Raw genomic sequence first — 20,592 nt, 5'->3', positions numbered from 1 at the left:
GCAACTCTTGCCTTCCCACGTGATCCTTCTTTTAGCAGTAGCTTTTCCTTTTTCACCTTGCTCCCAGGATCTGAACTGACTGCTCAGGTGGTCAGGAACTATAACCTCCATGGACAAAGGTAGATACCCTCTCGTGACCCTCTTAGACTCCATTGGCACTTAGATTTATTGCTTAATGCACTGTATTGTAAACATGTCTTTACTGGTCTGTTTTAGCCACGAGACTGGAGCCTTTTGAAGACAAGAATTAATTATGTGTTAGCATTATAATCTGCCATTTATTGGGTACTTACTAAATGCTGAACACTATGCTAGGTGTTTCGTCTGTAGTATCTAAAATATTTATAACAGCTGCCGGGCGCAGTGGCTCACACCTGTAATCCCAGCACTTTGGGAGGCCAAGGTGGGTGGATCACTTGAGGTCAGGTGTTCAAGACCAGCCTGGCCAACATGGTGAAACCCTGTCTCTACTAAAAATACAAAAATTAGCCAGGCATGGTGGCACACACCTGCGATACCAGCTACTCCGGAGGCTGAGGCAGGAAAATTGTTTGAACCCAGGAGGCGGAGGTTGCAGTGAGCCAAGATTGCACCACTGCACTCCAGCCTGGGTGACAGAACAAGACTCCATCTCAAAAAAAAAAAAAATGTATATATATATATATATATATATATATATATTTATATTTATAACAGCTTTTCAAAGTATGTATTATTATCTCCATTTATCAGGCAAAAAAAACTGAGTAAAAGAGTGTCCTTTGCCCATCATCATTCACTCATTTAGTAAACATTTATTGTAGCCTTACACACCAGGACTTACGCTACATGCTGTAGACATGAGGATGAACAAAGCTGATACCACTCTGCCTTCATGGAACTTCTTGGTGGGTAGAGGAGACGATATTCAAAAATTATTTTACAACCCATGGCAAGTGTAATGTAGCCTGAAGCCTATCTGACTGCCCTGGATTGAAGCCACCTCTACCCTTACCAGCTAAGCAACCTTGGGCAGCTCTGTTAACCTCTCTGCACCTCATCTTCCTTTTCTGTAAAATGGGGATAATAGTAGTAGCAACTCCATAGGGGTGCTGTGAAGAATTAAAAAATTAACCCAGGCACACAGAGAAGGGCCCCTGCACATTCCAGGCATATTGCTGCTGCTGCTGATGATGATGATGATATGAAAGAGAGGCATGGGGTGCTCGTATGTGATAGAGCAGGACCTACTTCAGGGGACATCTGATTGAGGTCTACAAGATGAATAGGTGTTACCTTGGCAAAGTGTGTGGGAGGCAGGGGAGGGGAACAGAGTGTTGGAGGGATGTTCCAGGCAGAGAGAACAGCATGTCAAAGCATAGGGGGCGGGCTTACCTGAGGAACTGCAAGGAGTGAAGCTGAAATGGGCCCGGCTGGGAAGCAGGAGCCTGTGCTACAAACACAGCTCCAGGACCGGGTTCTCTGCACCACAGTCTTGATCCAGGCCATGGGAGGTGCTCAGTAAATGTTTGTCAAGTGAGCGAGCAGCTCATGGACAAACGGCTATGCTGGGCCCACATGGTTCTGTTGTCACCCAAGTCCATTGTCCCATATACAGCATGATATGTAGACAGCCCCTTCCCAGCTGTCACACTGTATACATCCATGTTTTGGTCCCTCTTTTCTTGACAGTAAACTAAATCCTGTGAGTTTGGGTGCAGACCTCCAATATCTGGGACTCACTGAGGTGGCCGCAGCTAGAATCCCCATGCTATAGCCAGGGGCTCAGATCTAAGCCAATGGTATTCAGACTCTTTAGTAGCAGAACTCTGCCTTGAAATAATCTTAGCAGAAATCCAGTATATGGTACAGGGACAGGCAGAGCTTCTGCCCTTGAGGGGCAGACATAGGGCCTCAGCCCCTGTGCACCTGAGAAAACACTAGGGCTCTGTAAAGCACAGTTAGAAAAACTAGGGTTGAACCCAAACCCCATCTTCCAGGTGGGGAAACTTAAGATCCAGAGAGGGAGTGACTCTCCGGAGTCACTAGGGACAGACCCAGAACTGGCCCCAGACATCTGGTATCAATTCTGCTACACCAAGATTTTCCGGCACTTCGCCCTAACTGCCCCCAGCCCCTCTCATCGTGCAGGGAGTCTTGAGATGGGGTGGGGGCACATGGATGTGGTCTTGTCAAGAGTCTAGCCTCCAGCCCCAGTTAGGGCATGGCCCACATGAGACAAAAATCCACAGGGCAGGCATGGGTGGGTTGCTCAGGGTCATGGCCTGGTTATGCCATGTCTTTTTTTTTTTCCTGCTGCTGCTTCTTTTTTAATTGAGTTTGAGGTGGTTGTTTTTTGTTTCCTTAAGAAATGGAAAAGAATGAAGCTGCGTAAATACAACTATATTAACTCCCTGGAAAACCTCCTGCCATTTTAACTCTGTTACTGGAGAAATAAAAGAGAAATAATTTGTCCACCCACACTTAGCTCTTTCTGACGAAGGTAGGTGAATATTGCTTTGCTAATCGAGGGTGACTGCTGGAAGTGGAGCCACGCTGACTGATCCCAGATTGAGAGGCAGCCACAGCCACCCCAAAAGGGGTGGCAGAGCCCTGCCTGTGGACAGGGCCGGAGTCATCGGCCCGCATGGCCCATCTTCCACAGGTCTCCCCCAGCCGATAGTGATGGAGGCACTGGACGAGGCTGAAGGGCTCCAGGACTCACAGAGAGAGATGCCGCCACCCCCTCCTCCCTCGCCGCCCTCAGATCCAGCTCAGAAGCCACCACCTCGAGGCGCTGGGAGCCACTCCCTCACTGTCAGGAGCAGCCTGTGCCTGTTCGCTGCCTCACAGTTCCTGGTAAGGATGGCACAGGCCTCACAAGGGTCTGGAGAGAGGGTGGGTGGAGGGCCAGCCTCCCACTTCCTCCCCAGGATGGCCACCTGGAAGGCAGGAGGATAAGGGGCCTCCCTGGTGTTCCTCAGGAGCTCCAAGCCCTCAAGGCTGGGATAAGGGGAAGGCTGGAATTCTGAGCTACCGCACCAGCATCTGAGACCTCACACCCTGCCTCCCTAACCTAAGAATCCAGAACACAGGGCCTCCCCGACCCCTGAGCTCCCAGCCGTACAGGGTTCTCCTGAGAACTCCTGTCTGTGGAGGCCTTTCTAGGAGACTACTCTTTTGATGTACATATTTGTGAGGTCCTCTCTGGAAAGGGCTTTCTCTTGGTTCCCTTCAGTCAGCTTTTCTCCAAGGAGAGTCCTGAGGCCTCCCCGGGCACGCAGCACCGGGGCCCTGCTCTCAGCTGCCCGGTCTGGACCTTAGAGGTTCAGGAGCCTCCATGCAGGGCCAGGTTGAGGCTGCAGGTGAGCTCTGCTGGGGGAACACGGGGGAAGGGGGCCGGCTCCATACTCAGCCTGCTCCCCTGTGCCCCAGCTTGCCTGTGGGGTGCTCTGGTTCAGCGGTTATGGCCACATCTGGTCACAGAACGCCACAAACCTCGTCTCCTCTTTGCTGACGCTCCTGAAACAGCTGGAACCCACGGTAAGTAAGCTTTGGGGAGTCCTAGGGTAGCAGGGATCTGTTGGGGGCCTCTAGTCCCACCCTCCCCAACCTCCAGATTGGGCTTCTCTGAGTTCAGAAGATACTTCCAAGCCCCTGAAGTTCTTCTGCCTGCTCCCCATCCCAGACCTGGGACGTGATTTTCAGAATCTTGGTTTTGTCATCATTGCAAGAGCTGAGAACTCTGCCCCCACCACCACCCTGACCTGTTTATCTGATGTTCCCCAGGCCTGGCTTGACTCTGGGACGTGGGGAGTCCCCAGTCTGCTGCTGGTCTTTCTGTCCGTGGGCCTGGTCCTCGTTACCACCCTGGTAAGGCGCCTCCTGACCCCAACCTCAAGGCTGTCCTCCTCTGACCTTGAGGCCTGGATTTCTACCAGCTCCCATCTGACTTATAGGCTGGACATTCTGGGTGGGGCAAGGAGGGATACCTATCTCTTTGCACAAGTGTGCCAGCCTGGGGCAAGAGCCTCCTTCTTTCCGAAAATTGGTTTGCAGTGATCTGGGCTAAGGAAAGGGGATGAGACAGGGAGAAGACTGGTGTAGGAACTCCCAAGCCCCACTGAGAAGGCCTGAAGCCACAAGAAACAGAGAGCTGGGAGAGGGAGGGGCAGGGAAGGAGAGTGGGCATGGAGCCTCCCATCGAGGCCAGGGGCAGTGCCTTGTGGACAACTCCCAGGAGAGCAGAGCTGCTCTAGACACACTGAGGGAGTGGGGGGGCGTCAATCCCATGGGCACTCCAGGAACACGGGGGGCAGCCAGCGTGGTCCGAAATCTGTGATGCTGTACACCCCAACCAGGTGTGGCACCTCCTGAGGACACCCCCAGAGCCACCCACCCCACTGCCCCCTGAGGACAGGCGCCAGTCAGTGAGCCGCCAGCCCTCCTTCACCTACTCAGAGTGGATGGAGGAGAAGATCGAGGATGACTTCCTGGACCTCGACCCGGTGCCCGAGACTCCTGTGTTTGATTGTGTGATGGACATCAAGCCTGAGGCTGACCCCACCTCACTCACCGTCAAGTCCATGGGTCTGCAGGAGAGGTGGGAGGGGTGGAGGAGGGGTGGGCTCCACGGGCCCTTGAGCTCTTAGCTCCTGATCAGAAGAGTGGATGCCTGACTCTGACTCCTGGTGCCCAGGGCAGAGCTGGCCTTATAGCTTAGCCAGTGTAGACATGTGCTATCCAGGTCATTCATAGAGATCAAAGTGCCCCAAGATGAATGCTGAGAAATACTGTTACTGCACACGCACACATAGGTGTACACATGTTCACACACACTCTCCCATGCTCAAGTAAGTTTGGGTGGTTTTCTTTGCTGCAGGACTTGTCAGGGCCTTTAACATGCTTATGTTCATTGTAAATCAGCAAGGGGGCAGTATGTGGCATTTCCCAAAGTCACTTGACCACGGAACTCTATTTTTTTGTTTTACTTTTATTTTGGATTGAGGGGGTGCATGTGCAGTGTTGTTACCTGAGCATATTGCATAATGCCGAGGTTTGGGGTACAAATGATCCCATCACCCAGGTACTGAGCGTAGTGCCCAGCAGTTAGTTTTTCATCCCTTGCCCGCCTCTCTCCCTCCCTCCTCTAGTAGTCCCCAGTTTCTATTGTTGCCATCTTTATGTACCTGGGTACCCAATTAGAACCTGTTTTTATAGGGTAGCTCATAGTGTTCCACAGAGCACACTTTGAGAAGTGTAGACACCCTCGTTTCAGAGTCTAGGTGGGTGAGCCAGATCACACCAAATTTGAGTTACCCATGTGATGTCACAGAAAGAACACTGGGTGTGGAGTCAGGAAACCTAGCTTTTTATTTCAGCTCTGCCACCCCCTTACTGGGAGAGCCTGGACAACTCTTGGCCCTTCATGGGGACTCAGTTTCTCTTTCTATGTAATGAAGCCCCATCCTGTCCTGTGTCTGAGACTCTGAGTATAGTAGAGTTTGCCCATTGTAGACATCCTTGCGGCCACCGTGCTGCTCCTGGGACTCCCTCCTTCCTGACAGCGGGGGTCCTGGCCTCTCCTGGACAATATGTCCTTGACTCACCAGCAGCCTCATCCCAGGGCTGTTGGGCCCGGGACTGCAGTGGGGAGGGTCTGGAGCCATCCTCTCGGGCCCAAGCCCCGCTTCTGTGCTTCAGGCAGGTGTCCCCTCTCTGAGCTTCCTGGGGACCACAGGGTAGAACTTCCTCCAACGGTGATGGAGGAGAGTCCAGGGTAAGGCCATGTTGGGGTAGCTTTGGATGGAACTTTTAGAACTGGAGCCCCAAATCCCCACTAAGTTAACATCTCCACTGCAGGAGGCAGGAGATAGGGAGTCAGGCCAATGCCTCAGGGCTGAGATTCACGCTTCTTTGTCAGGGGGTCTTGTCACACTCCCACTCCTCTTCCTCAACCCCACCCTGTTCCCAGCTGATCTCTCCCTCCCTCATTTTCCCAGCCCTGGAGACCCCAGCTCATGCCCGTCCCTCTGCCCCTGAGGCTCACACTCCCTTTCCTGGTCCTTCCAGGAGGGGTTCCAATGTCTCCCTGACCCTGGACATGTGCACTCCGGGCTGCAACGAGGAGGGCTTTGGCTATCTCATGTCCCCACGTGAGGAGTCCGCCCGCGAGTACCTGCTCAGCGCCTCCCGTGTCCTCCAAGCAGAAGAGCTTCATGAAAAGGCCCTGGACCCTTTCCTGCTGCAGGCGGAATTCTTTGTGAGTTCCCTTGAGCCGGTCGCCCCACTGTGTGCAGACCCATGTCAATCATCCACCTGCCCAGGTGGTGGAGCGTGGTGCCTGGAACTCAGCATCTGCAGTAGATTAGTATCACTTTATTATCAGCTCTCCCACCATCTTGGGCAAGCTGCTTTCCCTCTGAGCTTCAGTTTCCTCATCTGGAAAATGGGGATGAAAATAATAGAATTGTTGCAAAGATTAAAGAGACTTATAACATGTGCAGAGCACCCAGCCAGGTGATGGAGGTACAGTGACAATGCTAAGTCTTTATTGCCCAGTGCTGTGCTCTGAAAGCCACAGAGAACCTTCACTTCTAACTCTTCTGTTTTCCCACTTTCCTCCTGCCGAGCATTGTTCTTCTGCCTTTGAAATCTCTCTAGTGGCCTCCCCTCGTTACCACCCCTGGGGCCCTAGCTTAGGTCCTAATCACCTCCACCCTGGCTTCTGCAGCAGCCTCCAGCTGCCTCCTATTGGACTTTGAGGGGCTCAATAAATGGCACCCCTGTTTACCTGCCTGAGTGCTCAGCCAGTTAAGAGCTAAGGCATAGGAGATTACAATATCACCTTTGTTGTCAATAAAATACAGGTTGGAAATGTGGCTTAGCAGGGTACAGCAAGAGTGAGCCTCCCGATACTGAGACCCAGAATTACATGCACTTTCCACCCTCCACAGGGGTGCCGGCACATCTCGGACCTTGCCGCATGGGGGCACCCCTATAATTCTTTCCTGGCAGGAGGGCCCTGAGAGGAGGAGGAAGGAAGGGGCTGAGGCTCCAAAGCTCCATTCCTCAACCAAATTCACCAAACAGGTAACTCCTCACTTCTGTGAGCAGGAAAAGGCAAGAGGCCAAGAGTATCTGGGGTGAGTTCCTCCTGGTAGAAGCCACAGGGGTACAGAAGCAGGTGCCTCCTCCCTCATAGCTCCCTTCCTTTGGCCTCCGCCCTGGGCCTGTCTGGACCGGGTAGCTCTCCCCTGTGAGAAGACCTCCATCATCATCTGATCTGCTGCTCCAAGTTCTCCAGAACTTGGTACCACCTGCATACACCATCAGCACCCCTTACCTCGTGTGGCCCCAGCCTCCTTTTCCAGCCTTATGCCCCATGCCCCACCCCTGCAGGGACTGTCCACTTCAAACTGGGCCAGTCTCGTCCGTGCCTTTCTCCTCCTGTGCCTTTGCTCACATCATCACTCACTCCAGATGCCTCTAGAAAGCCTTCTTTAACCACCCCAGCCTCAGCTCCTTCTCTGAGCTCCCACTGCCATCATCTCCCCTTCGAGAAAGAATCACATCCTCTACCTCATTTCCTGTCCGGTGGGTCTTTGTTGAGGAAGGAGCGTGGCCTGAGCACCCACTCTGGGGGCAGTTTTGCACGTGTTGTATTTTTATTTTGATTTTCACAATCCTGGAAAGTGTGATGATCCTCATTTTACAAAGCCCATACTTAGTGTGTCCAAAAACAATGAACAGTGTGAAGTTAGGTGCAGTCAGGGGCTAAGCTGGTGGACAGACTGGAAGGAAATGCAGAGGCAAGAGGCATGGAGAGTCATCCCGGAAGATGTCAGGAGGAGACAGACTCATAGGTGAACTTTTTTTTTTTTTTTTTTTTTGAGACAGGGTTTCACTCTTGTTGCCCAGGCTGGAGTGCAGTGGTGCGATCTTGTCTCACTGCAACCTCCGCCTTCCAGTTCCAAGCGATTCTCCTGCCTCAGCCTCCCTAGTGGCTGGGATTACAGGGGCCCGCCACCAGGTCCAGCTAATTTTTGTATTCTTATTAGAGATGGGGTTTCAACATGTTGGCCAGGGTGGTCTCAAACTCCTGACTTTGTGATCCGCCTGCCTCGGCCTCCCAAAGTGCTGAGATTACAGGCGTGAGCCACCGCGCCCGGGCAGAGGTGAACTTTAAAGGGTGGGAACAACTTGGAGAGATGGGGGTAGGGGAGACCAGCGCCCTCAGGAGGCAGAACGTCACAAGCTCAGACTCAGAGGCAGGACTGAGAACAGCAGATTAACAACAGGGGAGAAACAGGCCTAACTGGAAGTAAAGAGAGGCCAGATTCAAGAAGCCCTCACATGCCAGGAGAGAAGTTCAGACTCAGAGCTCTGGACACAGACAGTGGTTGGGAGGTGCAGATATTCCTGGGATCTCAGAAAGAGGCTTCTCTCCTTCTGGAGAATCAGGGAAGGCTTCTCAGAGGAGGCGGGACATGAGATGAGGATGGGGTGTGTGTTACCACAGAGCAAGCAGCACGAACCTAGGTCCCGAGATAGGGATGCCCAGGGAGGAATGCTGCCCAGGGAGCATGGAAGAAGGCAGCCATTGGCCAGGTCACTTTTTGTCTTTTTCTTCATTCATCAGCTATTTATTGACTGTCTATATATGGCAGGCTGGCTCTCCATAAACAATAGTCATTATCATATTTATTACACACTCAGCATGTGCCAGGCACTGTTCTGAATGCGTCGTGAGCACTAACTCTCTTAATAGTAAATGTTTGTTGAATGAATGCGTGCACTCAAGCCAGCCCCTGGGCTAGGAGTTGGGGGCACAGCAGCCCCTGGATTCAAACATCTGTGAGGGCCCATAGCTGCTCACACCCCGTGTCCTCCTTCCACAGGAAATCCCCATGAACTTTGTGGATCCGAAAGAGTACGACATCCCTGGGCTGGTGCGGAAGAACCGGTACAAAACCATACTTCCCAGTGAGTACTCACTGTCCCAGAGGGATGGGGGCAGGCTCAGCTTCACCTGGGGATCCCCTCACCCTGAGGAGGACCCTCAGCTGGGCCTCTAGGGGTGACAGGACTGGAGGAGGTGGGACAGAGGGCTGGGGGTTGCTGGCTGAAGGGAAGCGCTGCCCTGGTGAGGCCAGAGGCGAGTACATTTCCTCGCACAGCACTCTCTGGTCCTTTGCCCTGCCTGGCCACATGTTGTGCTGGACCCTCTAGAAACCCAAAGAGAAAGGGTGGTAATGACAGCAGTTCCTAGCCACACTGTGGTAACCGAAACTCTTTTCAGAGTGGGCAGATTTTAAGGAAAGGAAGTTAAGGCTTAGAGAGGTTAAGTGGCTCACCTGCAGTCCCACAGCTAGGAAGTGCAGAGCTGAATTTCAGACCTGGGCCTCTGTGATCCCAGAGTCAGGCTCTCTGTCTACACTGTGTGGAGTGTGGTCGAATTGTAAGCCCTCTAACAGGGACATCCACTCCCACAGGCAAATGAGTTGTCTCTGTCAGGGAGTGAGCTCCCCATTACTCAGTATATTCAAGTGAGGCGGCACGAGCAGTCCCCTAGAAGGTCTGAAAGGGGTTTTCCTCCTTTGGGGGCAGTTAGACCAGGTGACCTGATGCTCCTCTTTCAGCCCTGGGGTATCATTTTCAGATAACTTTTATCAAGCCTCGATGAGCCTGCCACCCTCGCCAAGTTCTGACCCCAGTCCCCAGGGCTAGCTTGGGCGTTGACTTGTTGAAAGTGAATCCCCATAAACCTACTCCATTCAGTTTGTGGAGTAGCGAGGCTTTTAAAAAGCAGTTTTGCCATCAGCATCTCCAACAACATGTAAGATGTCATGACTTATTTTTAACTTTTAAAATATCGACTTGTAGTTGCTATGGTTACACAGTCTCTAGGTAGTTCCGGTTAAACAAAGAGCCATTTAAGGCCAGGATGCATTATTCAGGGATGCTCACCTCTTCCCTCGTCTTGCCCTCCCCGATCCCAGCCCTACCTGGAGGGAGGGACTCGAGTATCCTAGAACCTTGGACTTTGCTGGCTGCTCAGAATGGCCACTGGGGGAAGGTGGGAGCAGACTAGGATTCCGTGCAGATGCAGTCCCCGCTGCATTCCAAGAGGCTTGAGCTGCCTCCAACCATGCCCTGAGCCTCCAGGCCCCCGAGCCCAATAAAGAATCTTGTCTGTGTCCAGCAAGAATGGAGCCTGTGCCCTCAGAGACTGGGTTGGGGGGTGCAGAGGGCAGGTGAGGCTGAGCAGAGGCTGCCTCTGAGATCCAGGACGCGCTGAGGTTTGTTCTCTCATTCACTGGGCACACATTTCCTCGGCTCCTGCCCCAGGGGCTGAGGATTTAGACATAAATAGGACACAGACTCTGTGCACAAGGAGCTTCCAGCCTAGCGGGGGAGAGAGGTCCATGCACAGTTACAGTCAGAGTGAACAGTAACCCACAGGCAGCATTGAGAACAAGATGCTGGGAGCAATTTCTGTCCCCTTCTCCGCCGTGTCCCAAGCATCAAAGCAGTGCTGCCTGGCACATGGTAGACATTCTGCACCTATTTGGACTGTTTTAATTTTTGTAGAGATGGAGGTCTTGCTCTGTTGACCAGGCTGGTCTCAAACTTCTGGCCTCAAGCTGTCCTCGCCTGCTTCGGCCTCCCAAAGTGCTGGGATTATAGGCATGAGCCACCATGCCGGGGTCTGCACCTATTTGAATGAATGAATGAATAATATCTCTCAAATCTACATCCTCTTCTCCAGCCTCACTGCCAAATGATGTTTTTGAGGTTAGGGCTTTCATGTTGTCCAATTCCAGGGGACACAATTTACATAGACTACATTGACATAAGTGCCCCCTGGAGCCGTGCCAGGCTGGACAGCCCTGTGATCCTTGACACTTCTTACTTGGATCATTGCAGTAAACCTCTAACTGGTCTTCTGGCTTCCACACTCTCCTCTCCATCTTCTACCATTGTCACCAAAATGAGGCAAAACAAATCTAATTGTGTCATTCTCTTCCTTAAATGCCATCATTGTTGTCACCCTCGTAATCCTCAGGTTTAAGTCCAGCTTTTTTTTTTTTTTTGGGGGAGACAGAGTCTCACTCTGCTGCCCAGGCTGGAGTGCAGTGGCACAGTCTCGGCTCACTGCAACCTCTGCCTCCTGGGTTCAAGCAATTTCTGGCTAATTTTTGTATTTTTAGTAGGAACAGGGTTTGACTGTGTTGGCCAGGCTGCTCTCCAACTCCTGACCTCAAGTGATCCGCCCACCTCAGCCTCCCAAAGTGCTGGGCTTACAGGCTTGAGCCACCACGCCCGGCCTAAATCCAGCTTTCTAAGCCTGGTTTATAAGACCCTTTGTCGCCTGGTTCCTCTCCAGCCTCACCACTCACCACTCCCTACCCTGCACTGTGCACGTGAATCTGACAGAACAGCATTGCCTGCAGACAAGGAGAAGGGAGACGGCCCATACAGAGCTTCCTGCCCCTCTCTGCTGCAGGTCCCCCAAAAGCCCCCCTCCCGTTTACCCTGTCTCCTCTCCATCCCTGCCACCCTCTACACCCCCTCTTCACAAGAACTGCCCCAAATCACCTGCCAAAACCTTAGACATTGGGGTTGGGCTAAAGAGGCGAAGCTTGTGCCCTTTACCTCCCCAATTTCTCCTACTGGGTTTAGGATCCTTCTTTTTATCCTTTAACTTGTGGAACTTGTAATAATGTCAGGAATAACAGCAACTGATACTTCGTGTTGGTCCTAGTTACTGGCATAAGGACTCTAGTTGTTAAAGTTAACTCCTTTACAAGATAAGCAAGGTCATTGTGGAATGACCATCCCCAGATTACAGATAAGGCACAGGGAGATAAAGTAAATTGTCCATGTTGACACTGCTAGTAAGTCAGAATCAGGATTTGAACCTAGCCTCTCTGGCTCAGCGGTGTAGACTCTTAATGACTCCCCTATACTGCCTGTGAGAGCCTCCTAATGTGCACACTGGAAGTGCCTTTAGTCCAGTCCTCCCTATTATAGGAAAGAAACTGAGGCCTGGACAAGTGAGCTGATGACAAAACTAAACCAGAACCCAGGAATCTGGGGCCCCAGCCAGCTTCCCCCTTACCCCATACAACCTCAGTCTTGGCCTCTGCAGGCTGACAGAATAGTCAATGCAGAGAGGCTGTAGCTGGAACAAAACAAAATCTACTCCAGGAAGAAGAGCAGAGTGGGGGCTGGGCACAGTGGCTCATGCCTATAACCCCAGCACATTGAGAGGCCGAGGTAGGAGGATCACTTGAGCCAGGAATTGGAGACCAGCCTAGTCAACATAGCAAGACCTCATCTCTACCAAAATAAACAAATAAAAATAAAAAAATAAATTTAGCCAGGTGCAGTGGCTCATGGCTTAGTCCTGCTTACTCAGGGGGTTGAAGCAGGAGGATCACTTGGGCCCAGGAGTTTGAGGCGGCAGCGAGCCATAATCGTGCCACTGCACTCCAGCTGAGTGACAGAGACCCTTTTACTATGGGATTTGACATGTGAATAAATTGAAAGGAAAAAAAACCTTTTTGCATATGTGGACATGAGGCTGAGACCCCACAGTCTTAATCCAGATAGAGGAGACTATCGTTTTCATGTTAATAGCCTCCGTCAACTTTCTACTCCCGAATCTTAACAGCCCTTTATATTTATAAAGCACTTTACAGTTTACACAGAACTTTCACATCTCTTTTCTCATTCATCTTCCCAACAGCCCAAGCAAGTAGGCATCTTTGCCTCCATTTGACAGATAGGAAAACTAAGGCTTAGAAAGGCCATGTGTTTTACAAGCCTACACAGCAAGTCAATGACAGTGTGTACTCAAGCTAGCTGTCTCTTGCTGAACAAGATCTGTACAGGAATTTCCCTAGGTAATTCCATTGTTGACTTAGCTGTCTCCTCTCCAGAAGCTAAGATGCAGTGAGTATAGGGCAACTTAAGAGGCACAGGCTAAGGATAGAGACAGAGGTAGAGACCCGGGGACCCCCCTCTCTCTCCACCCTCCTCCTCATCCTGAGTCCTCACCTACAAAATGAACCATGAATGGGTCAATGTTTTGCTGCTGGGCAAGGGAAGGAAGAACTGCTAATGTCGCAGAAGAAGTGTGGGTATGCTGGAATAGGCCAGAGCAAGTGGGTCCTGCACCAGAGGGCCCAGTTTCCAGCCTTACTTGTCTCCCACCACCCCAGACCCTCACAGCAGAGTGTGTCTGACCTCACCAGACCCTGACGACCCTCTGAGTTCCTACATCAATGCCAACTACATCCGGGTACGTATTCCCACCCTGACGGCCTCTTGCTCAAGGGGAGGCCTGAGTCGATGGGATCCATCCTCCAGCCTTGTCCCTACACCAGTCTGGCTCCTGCCAGCTCCTGTGAAGAGCCTGAGTGTGGGGATGGGGTCCTGGGAGCACTGCCTCTGACCCTGACAGCCTGGACTTGGCTGGCCGCAGGGCTATGGTGGGGAGGAGAAGGTGTACATCGCCACTCAGGGACCCATCGTCAGCACGGTCGCCGACTTCTGGCGCATGGTGTGGCAGGAGCACACGCCCATCATTGTCATGATCACCAACATCGAGGAGATGAACGAGGTAGGGACCCCCGTCCCCATTCTAAGTGTCTGCTACATTGCGCCCTACACTAAGTATCTTGTTCTCAAATTAATCTTTATGACAATCTCAAGAGGTCGGCGGTGTTCACTCCGCTGCCAAGATGAGGAGATGTGAGGCTCGGTAAGGTTAAGTCATTTGCCCCGGGCTTCACAGATAGAGGCATGCCTGGAGGTGGCCTCTCCACTTCCAGTGCCCGTGACCTTAAACACAGCACTCTGCTGCCTCCCAGCCTGCCAGGACAGATGTTGGCTACTCCTGTACCCATAAGGGCCCATTTAACCGAATCTCCATAAAAGTCCTTCAGATGGGTAGCACTTCTGTTTTCCAGAGGAAGAAACTGAGACTCAGGAAACGGAAGTAGCTTATAGAGTTTGCAGCTGAGATTTGAACCCAACACTCTGTAGCAGCAACCCTGTTGCCCTTGTGTATCTCTCCGCTGGCCCTGAAGAGAGTGTAGAGAGTTGTGGGAAGGGAACAGGATTGTATGGCAGCCTGATCTGGGCCCCTGCAGAAATGCACCGAGTATTGGCCGGAGGAGCAGGTGGCGTACGACGGTGTTGAGATCACTGTGCAGAAAGTCATTCACACGGAGGATTACCGGCTGCGACTCATCTCCCTCAAGGTGAGGCCTGGGGCAGGGCTGGGTGAAGCTGAGGATGAGTGTAGGGGCTTAACTGGGGGCTCCACAGAGAACAGGTCCCCCAAGTCCACTGTAACTGACATAAAAGCCAGTGTCACTCCCAGATTTTCTGATAATTACGGATGAGTGAGAGGTGAATGGACTTGGGAGCCAGAGGTAGAATCAAACCCCTTGCATTTCCCAGTCCTCAGTTACATTTCATGCTGTTGGGCTCTCTCTGTCTCTCTACTCTGTCATTCATAATGCATTCTAGCTATGCTTCAAATGTACCCAAGGCCAGGACTGTCTGGATGAGGGGACTTCAGCAGCCTCCAGCACTGTGCTTATAATTGAGGGTTCATCATGACTTTGAGATCCTCCTTAGAAACATCTCTTCACCTGGGATCCTGGGCTTCTGGCCTGTAGTGCCCAATCTGTCCACAAGAGGGCAGGCACTCTTTGCTGCTTTGGGGTTGTACAGGGGGCTGTGGTTACAGAAAACAGCAAGAAAAAGGAAGACACACAAAATATGAGCAATACAAAACAGCCCAGAAGAGTGGGAGAAGGTATCCTCCCACCCTGAAGTTGTGCTTCCTCCAGGATCAGCATAATAGAGGAGACTGTTCCTTTGAAATCGGGATTAGTGGATTCTGTTTGTGAGAAATAAGACCCATGTTTAGGGAAGGCTGTAATTGTAATAACCCCAAAGGCTGGAAGAGGTGAACCAGGCATCAGGAAGCTGATGCCCTATCCAGGAGCAGCCAAGGAAGTTCATTGATGCTGACAGCCACAGGGGTTACTGAGCACAAGACCGGAGACTTGGCCCTCTGAGCTGTTCCCTCTCCCACTGAATAGGGGCCAGGTAGGGTGTCGAGAGCATCTCAGCCCCCAAGAGCAGTGCCCCCACAAGCAGCTCTAAGATCCAGGTCTTGTTGGAGGGCATGAAGGGCCAGGAAGTGAAAAGCAGAAGTAGTGGTCACTGTCACAGCCAGGTAACTCAGGACTTGAGAAAATGGCTTCCTGAGTAGAAATTCCCCAGAAAGACAGGCTGAGATGAGGCAGGGCTGCTCACCTTCTCAATGCCATGGAGATGATGAGGGAAGAACCAGGGCATCTTGGAGTTTGAGGGAATTTACTTTTGTCCATAAGACATTACGAGCACCTGGCCTGAGCTTGGTTCTGGGTTGGATACTGTGAACACAGAGCTTCCCAAAGCTTGGACTCTTTCCTTGAGAAGCATTGTATAAGATGGTAAGTACTGAGCTAGAGATAGGTATATAGAATATAGGATATGTATATCATATGATGTTATATTGGATGAATATAGGATATGTATATCATATATGTATGTATATATGATATACATATCCTATTATACCTATATATAAAATATATATAATATAAATATATAATATATAAAATATATATAAAATATAAATATATATATAGGTGTGTGTGTATATATATATGTATAAAAGAAGGACACTCTGCCAGCTGATGTGCTCAGGGAGGGCTTCCTGTACATGGTGGTGCTGAATGGGGTCTTGAAGGATAAGTAAGAGTTGACCAGGGGCAAACAAGTCAGGAGAACATTCCCAGTGAGAAAATAATAAAAGTAAGGACATGGAAGATGGAACACTTGTGTGCATGTATGTGTGCACATGTGTTTGTGTGTGCTGCTGAGATTTTACCTACAAACCTTTTGGAGTGTGGGAGCATTGAGTACAAGTACGCAGGGGCAGGAGGTGTGTCTGGAAGGGCAGGCCCTGTAGCAGTTGTCTTCCTAGCCAGGTGAAGGACTGAGGAGAGTGGGTCTTATTCTGAGAGCAGTGAGAGACATTGAAGGATGTTGTGGTCTGCTCAGGCTGCTATAACAAAATACCATAGACCAGGTAGCTTGTAAGCAACAGGTTTATTTTTCACAGTTCTGGAGACTGGGAAGTCCAAGATCAAGGCACCGTGACCCTGGTGAGGACCCACTTCCAGGGTCATGTCCTCACGTGGCAGAAGGAGTGAAAGCTCCTTTTGTAAGAGCACTGATCCCATTCGTGAGGGCTCCGTTCTCATGACTTCATCACCTCGCAAAGGCCCTCCCTTCAAATACCACCATGTTGGGATTTGGTTTCAACATGTGAACTTAAGGGGACACACACATTCAGTCCAAAGCCACAGGTTTTCAGCAGGAGAGCAGCATGTCCAGATGTGTGTTGTACACAGACTATTTTGACTCTGTGGATCTGAGACAGTTGGGGATGAGGCAGAAATCTCCCACACTCGAGCAATGATAAAGGTCAAGGTGGCAGTGAAGCGGGGAGTGTGAAGAGGTGGTAAAACTTGCAGCACTAATTGCAGCACTAAGATAGAGGCGAGTCACGCAGGCGCAGGCGAGGCACAGCAAGAGGCGAAGAAGAGTCCCGGGGCTGGGTTATGTGACAAAGGGATGACTGGGGGACCATTTGTTAAGATAAGGAACCCTGGAGATAGTAATAAATTGGAGAAGGGGCTCTTGGCCCCTCTTGGATGATCCTGAAGTTGTTGGGGCAGGACCAAAGGCAAGATCCATGCCAACGCTGCTGACCAACCCCCAAAACCAAGCTGGCTTTGGGTCTGTGTCTGGTGCCACTGGGCAATGTGGCCTAGATGGAAGGGTGAAGGGGTCCCACTCTCAGTGTTCTTCCTGTGTTCTTCCTCCTTCCATCTCATCTCTATCTCTGGGCTGGTTTGTGAGCTGAAAGAGTTCACACATACCTGGGGTGGGCCTCTGTCTCCTCGACAGAGTGGGACTGAGGAGCGAGGCCTGAAGCATTACTGGTTCACATCCTGGCCCGACCAGAAGACCCCAGACCGGGCCCCCCCACTCCTGCACCTGGTGCGGGAGGTGGAGGAGGCAGCCCAGCAGGAGGGGCCCCACTGTGCCCCCATCATCGTCCACTGCAGGTGGGTCCTCCCAGCCAGCCACTGGAGCGGGGCAGCCCCCCACCCGCTGGGCTGCCCTGCCCCTCACCCCACCGGTCCCCTCGGCCCTCAGTGCAGGGATTGGGAGGACCGGCTGCTTCATTGCCACCAGCATCTGCTGCCAGCAGCTGCGGCAGGAGGGTGTGGTGGACATCCTGAAGACCACGTGCCAGCTCCGTCAGGACAGGTCAGCCCACGGGCGGGAGTGGGGACACACAAGGGAGCTAGAGCCCCGAGCGGGTAGAGGGAGAGACCCACATGTGCATGGGCGGGGGGTGAGGGGCAGATGGAAAACACTGGCACGGACTGATGGGCAGACAAGGAGTAGCGAGGACAGCTGGGTAGAGGGGCAGGATCCAGACAGTGGGGGGCCAGATGAAGAGGGAAGAAAAGCAGAGCTGGTGGATAAAAGGACAGAGGCCGAAAGTGGTAGGACATGTCATCTGTGTCCCTGATAGGAAGGGGCAGAGGGTAATGGTTGGCAAGGGTTGGTCTCTCCAAGACGCACAGGGGCAAGGCCTGGCAAGTGATTGCTACTCCATGGCTTTTGGGGCACCTCCCACAGCCCATCCCTCCACGACCCTGCCCCCACTGTGCATCTCTGCCGGGCAGGGGCGGCATGATCCAGACATGCGAGCAGTACCAGTTTGTGCACCACGTCATGAGCCTCTACGAAAAGCAGCTGTCCCACCAGTCCCCAGAATGACTGCGCTTCTCCTACAAGGTTCTCTGGGCACTGCCCAGCCTGAGTCTCGGCCCTCACCCAGGGCCCTGCCTCGGGTCCTGGGCCTGCTCCCCGCTTCCTCCCCTTCAGTCAGCTCCCTCTGTCCTCTGTCAGCCTGGCCTGACCCCTACCCTCCAGCATTGCTCTTCCTACTGTACATATTGGGGAGTGGGGGGCAGGGTCGGGAAGGGACATGCCAGGCCAGGCCTGGGGCCCCGGGGCCTGACCCACACCACGCAGACCCCGGGCTCCAGTTTTTAACGATGGTTCCATCAATACCTGATCCAGAATGTTTCCGTGCTACACTTTGTGTCCTGCTGCAATGTGTTCTGTCTGTCCATCCATCTCTGCCCTCTGTACCGGACACTGTGTCTCCTCAGCCAGGAAGGGGTAATGAGCTCCAGCCCCTAAGCAACCGGACTTGCCTGCCTCGGCCTCACCCGCACTTCTCCCAAAAGGCAGATGACGGGGAGTTAGGCATGGGGAGCTCCAGAAGGTCACCAGAGAGCTTTCAGCTGAGGGAGAGTTCTCTAGGTTGGAGTGGGCATCACAGCCAGGGTGGCCTCTGGGTGTCAGATGCTCTCAGGAGGGTGCCCAGCCTGTGAGGCACTGGCAAGGTAGGGGGCAGATGGGGCATGGAGAACCCAGAGGATCTAGGCCCTGTTGGGGAGGGGAGGGGAGCTCAAGGTTTGGGTGGGGACTCAGCCCAGATCTACGTGAGACATTTTTCTGTGTCACTGTGGGAAAGCCTTCCCAGAAGTCTCACTGCGTGTTGCTCTGCGTGTGTTCCCATGTCCATGCGTGTGTTGAGAGCCCATCAGGAGGGCATGCATGACTCTTTGGCAACATGTATTATCTTGGAGCCACGTGTTTTTATTGCTGACTTTAAATATTTATCCCACGGCAGACAGAGACATTTGGTGTCTTTTTATAATTCGCTCGTGGTCATTGAATAGAGCAATAAACGGAGCATTTTGAGCAAAACTAACCTCCTGGGTCTGTGTGATTTGCCTCTCCCCTCCACTGCCTTCCTTCCTGTACTTGGGTCTTTGTGCCCCTCCCCAGCATGAGCACAGTGAGCTTGGCCCTTCTGCTCACTGGAGCCCCTTGTGGAGACTGGGAGTATGGAGCGAGTCCAAATTTGTAAAGCCAAACTGGGAACATTCTGCAGGATTCTCACACAGCCTCAGCCCTGGCCCTGACACATGCTCTGGGCCATGGGGAGCCTCAAGGACAGGTGTGGAAGGCTTCCAGGGAAGGCACAGTGGCTGGCAGGTCACCATTTCCAACAGATGTGCCAGAGAAGCCAAGGCTAGGGTAAGGAGACATTCAGGTCACACCCAGGCCCCTCCCTGTTGGCCAAACTCTTATCCCATGTTAGCTCCACAGATCCCAACAGCAGCTGCAGCCCAGTAATTTCCCTTGTAAGGCCTGGGCTCAGAGTAGCTCCTCCCAAGGGGCCCAGGGAATCTGCATGTGGGCTGAGATCCTGAGCCATCCTGGACACTCCTGCTCTATTCTTGTCCCCTGCCCCCCTGGGATGGAGCAAAAGTAGCCATGATGCCACTGCTGGCAGGTGGGGGTCACCCCAGGGCAGAAGGAGGGGTCCAGGGCAAGGGTGCTGACCAACAAGTCCTTACAAGGTGCCAGAACCTTGGGTGGGATCCAGGGTCCAGGCATGCGGGGTGTGCTACAGATGATGAGAAAACAACAGGGTGGGCTGGACACGGTGGCTCACGCCTGTAATCCCAGCACATTGGGAGGCCGAGGGGTGGCAGATCATGAGGTCAGGAGTTCGAGACCAGCCTGACCAACATGGTGAAACCCCATCTCTACTAAAAATACAAAAATTAGCCGGGCGTAGCGGTGCACGCCTGTAATCCCAGATACTCAGGAGGCTGAGGCAGGAGAATCGCTTGAACCTGGGAGGCAGAGGTTGCAGTGAGCCAAGATCGTGCCACTGCATCCAGTCTGGGTGACAGAGACTCCATCTCAAAAAAAAGAAAAGAAAAGAAAACAACAGGTGGCTGAAGCAGCCCAGATGGAAGTCCTTGAGAAGAGGTGGCCATACTCTCCAGTCACCCTCAAGCAGAGACCTCCCCACAACCCCCGGAGGATGGGCCCTCCTACTCTTCTACCCAGATTAGGGAGATTGGGCTGTTGAAGTGGGAAGAGGAAGGAGACCTAACATTTCCCTGTTCTTCCCCAGGGTGGCCTTGTAAAGATACTCAGGCTGTGTATGAACCACACATAGGAGTGCAACATGAATGGGAACCCCTGGATTTGTGTAGCAACGCAGCAGATCCCAGAGGCCCTCCCCAGTTCACCGTGTCCCAGTCCCTGGAAAATACAGACCTGTTGCTTTGCTCCCTGAGCCCTGCTGGACTATGCATGCACCTGTACCTGAGTGTGTGCCTGTGCACACACACTACCCTGAGCCCCTCAGCTCAGAGAGGTCCTACCCAGCAGCAGTGAGAGCCAAAACCTGTACCACAAGGGAACAAAAAAAGTACCCCTGGACTGCCACCCTCAGCCTCCTTCCCGCCTGGCCTTCAGTGTTTCCCCCAGCCTGGATCCAGCTTTGCTTCCCGCCTCCCTTCTCCACCGCCCTCCCCCTCCCCCCACAACCAAGCAGTGTGCCATCTAGCTGAGACAGCTGCAGAG

General features: G+C 52.5%; 1 protein-coding gene and 1 long non-coding RNA gene across 13 annotated transcripts in view, besides 3 other annotated features; one reads left to right on the top strand and one right to left on the bottom strand.

The window, feature by feature from the left end:
- The window catches only part of PTPN5 (protein tyrosine phosphatase non-receptor type 5), a 64,794-nt gene extending 45,878 nt beyond the window's left edge, over positions 1-18,916 (top strand). For 4 of the 12 annotated variants that reach the window (XM_017018436.2, XM_017018435.3, XM_017018434.3 and 1 more), the window contains 11 exons: positions 2,645-2,838; positions 3,415-3,522; positions 3,769-3,852; positions 4,341-4,582; positions 6,052-6,241; positions 8,880-8,964; positions 13,209-13,288; positions 13,472-13,609; positions 14,142-14,252; positions 17,278-17,391; positions 17,817-18,916. In XM_017018436.2, coding sequence (XP_016873925.1) covers positions 2,645-2,838; positions 3,415-3,522; positions 3,769-3,852; positions 4,341-4,582; positions 6,052-6,241; positions 8,880-8,964; positions 13,209-13,288; positions 13,472-13,609; positions 14,142-14,252; positions 17,278-17,391; positions 17,817-18,533 — 2,063 coding nt within the window. In that variant the 3' untranslated portion in view covers positions 18,534-18,916. Of the gene's footprint in view, positions 1-2,644; positions 2,839-3,414; positions 3,523-3,768; positions 3,853-4,340; positions 4,583-6,051; positions 6,242-8,879; positions 8,965-13,208; positions 13,289-13,471; positions 13,610-14,141; positions 14,253-17,025; positions 17,187-17,277; positions 17,392-17,816 lie in introns of all 12 variants that reach the window. The other 8 variants (NM_001278236.1, NM_001278239.2, NM_001039970.2 and 5 more) reach the window with 3 other exon arrangements.
- Positions 4,957-20,592, bottom strand: part of IGSF22-AS1 (IGSF22 antisense RNA 1) — a 35,407-nt gene continuing 19,771 nt past the window's right edge. The window contains exon 3 of the long non-coding RNA NR_186353.1: positions 4,957-6,420. This is a non-coding gene — a long non-coding RNA (IGSF22 antisense RNA 1). The remainder of the gene's footprint in view (positions 6,421-20,592) is intronic.
- Positions 14,810-14,929: an enhancer, noted in NCBI's record as "active region_4511". NCBI's record gives its function as "activates an Ori minimal core promoter by ATAC-STARR-seq in GM12878 lymphoblastoid cells {active_cell/tissue: GM12878}" and the evidence as "EXISTENCE:reporter gene assay evidence [ECO:0000049][PMID:35858748]".
- Positions 15,115-15,254: an enhancer, noted in NCBI's record as "active region_4510". NCBI's record gives its function as "activates an Ori minimal core promoter by ATAC-STARR-seq in GM12878 lymphoblastoid cells {active_cell/tissue: GM12878}" and the evidence as "EXISTENCE:reporter gene assay evidence [ECO:0000049][PMID:35858748]".
- Positions 15,285-15,364: an enhancer, noted in NCBI's record as "active region_4509". NCBI's record gives its function as "activates an Ori minimal core promoter by ATAC-STARR-seq in GM12878 lymphoblastoid cells {active_cell/tissue: GM12878}" and the evidence as "EXISTENCE:reporter gene assay evidence [ECO:0000049][PMID:35858748]".

Source organism: Homo sapiens, chromosome 11 (genome assembly GCF_000001405.40).
Source record: "Homo sapiens chromosome 11, GRCh38.p14 Primary Assembly".
In the NCBI taxonomy this organism is placed as follows: Eukaryota; Metazoa; Chordata; class Mammalia; order Primates; family Hominidae; genus Homo; species Homo sapiens.
Note: the sequence above shows the minus strand (reverse complement) of the source record. Positions and strands in the feature narration are given on the sequence as shown.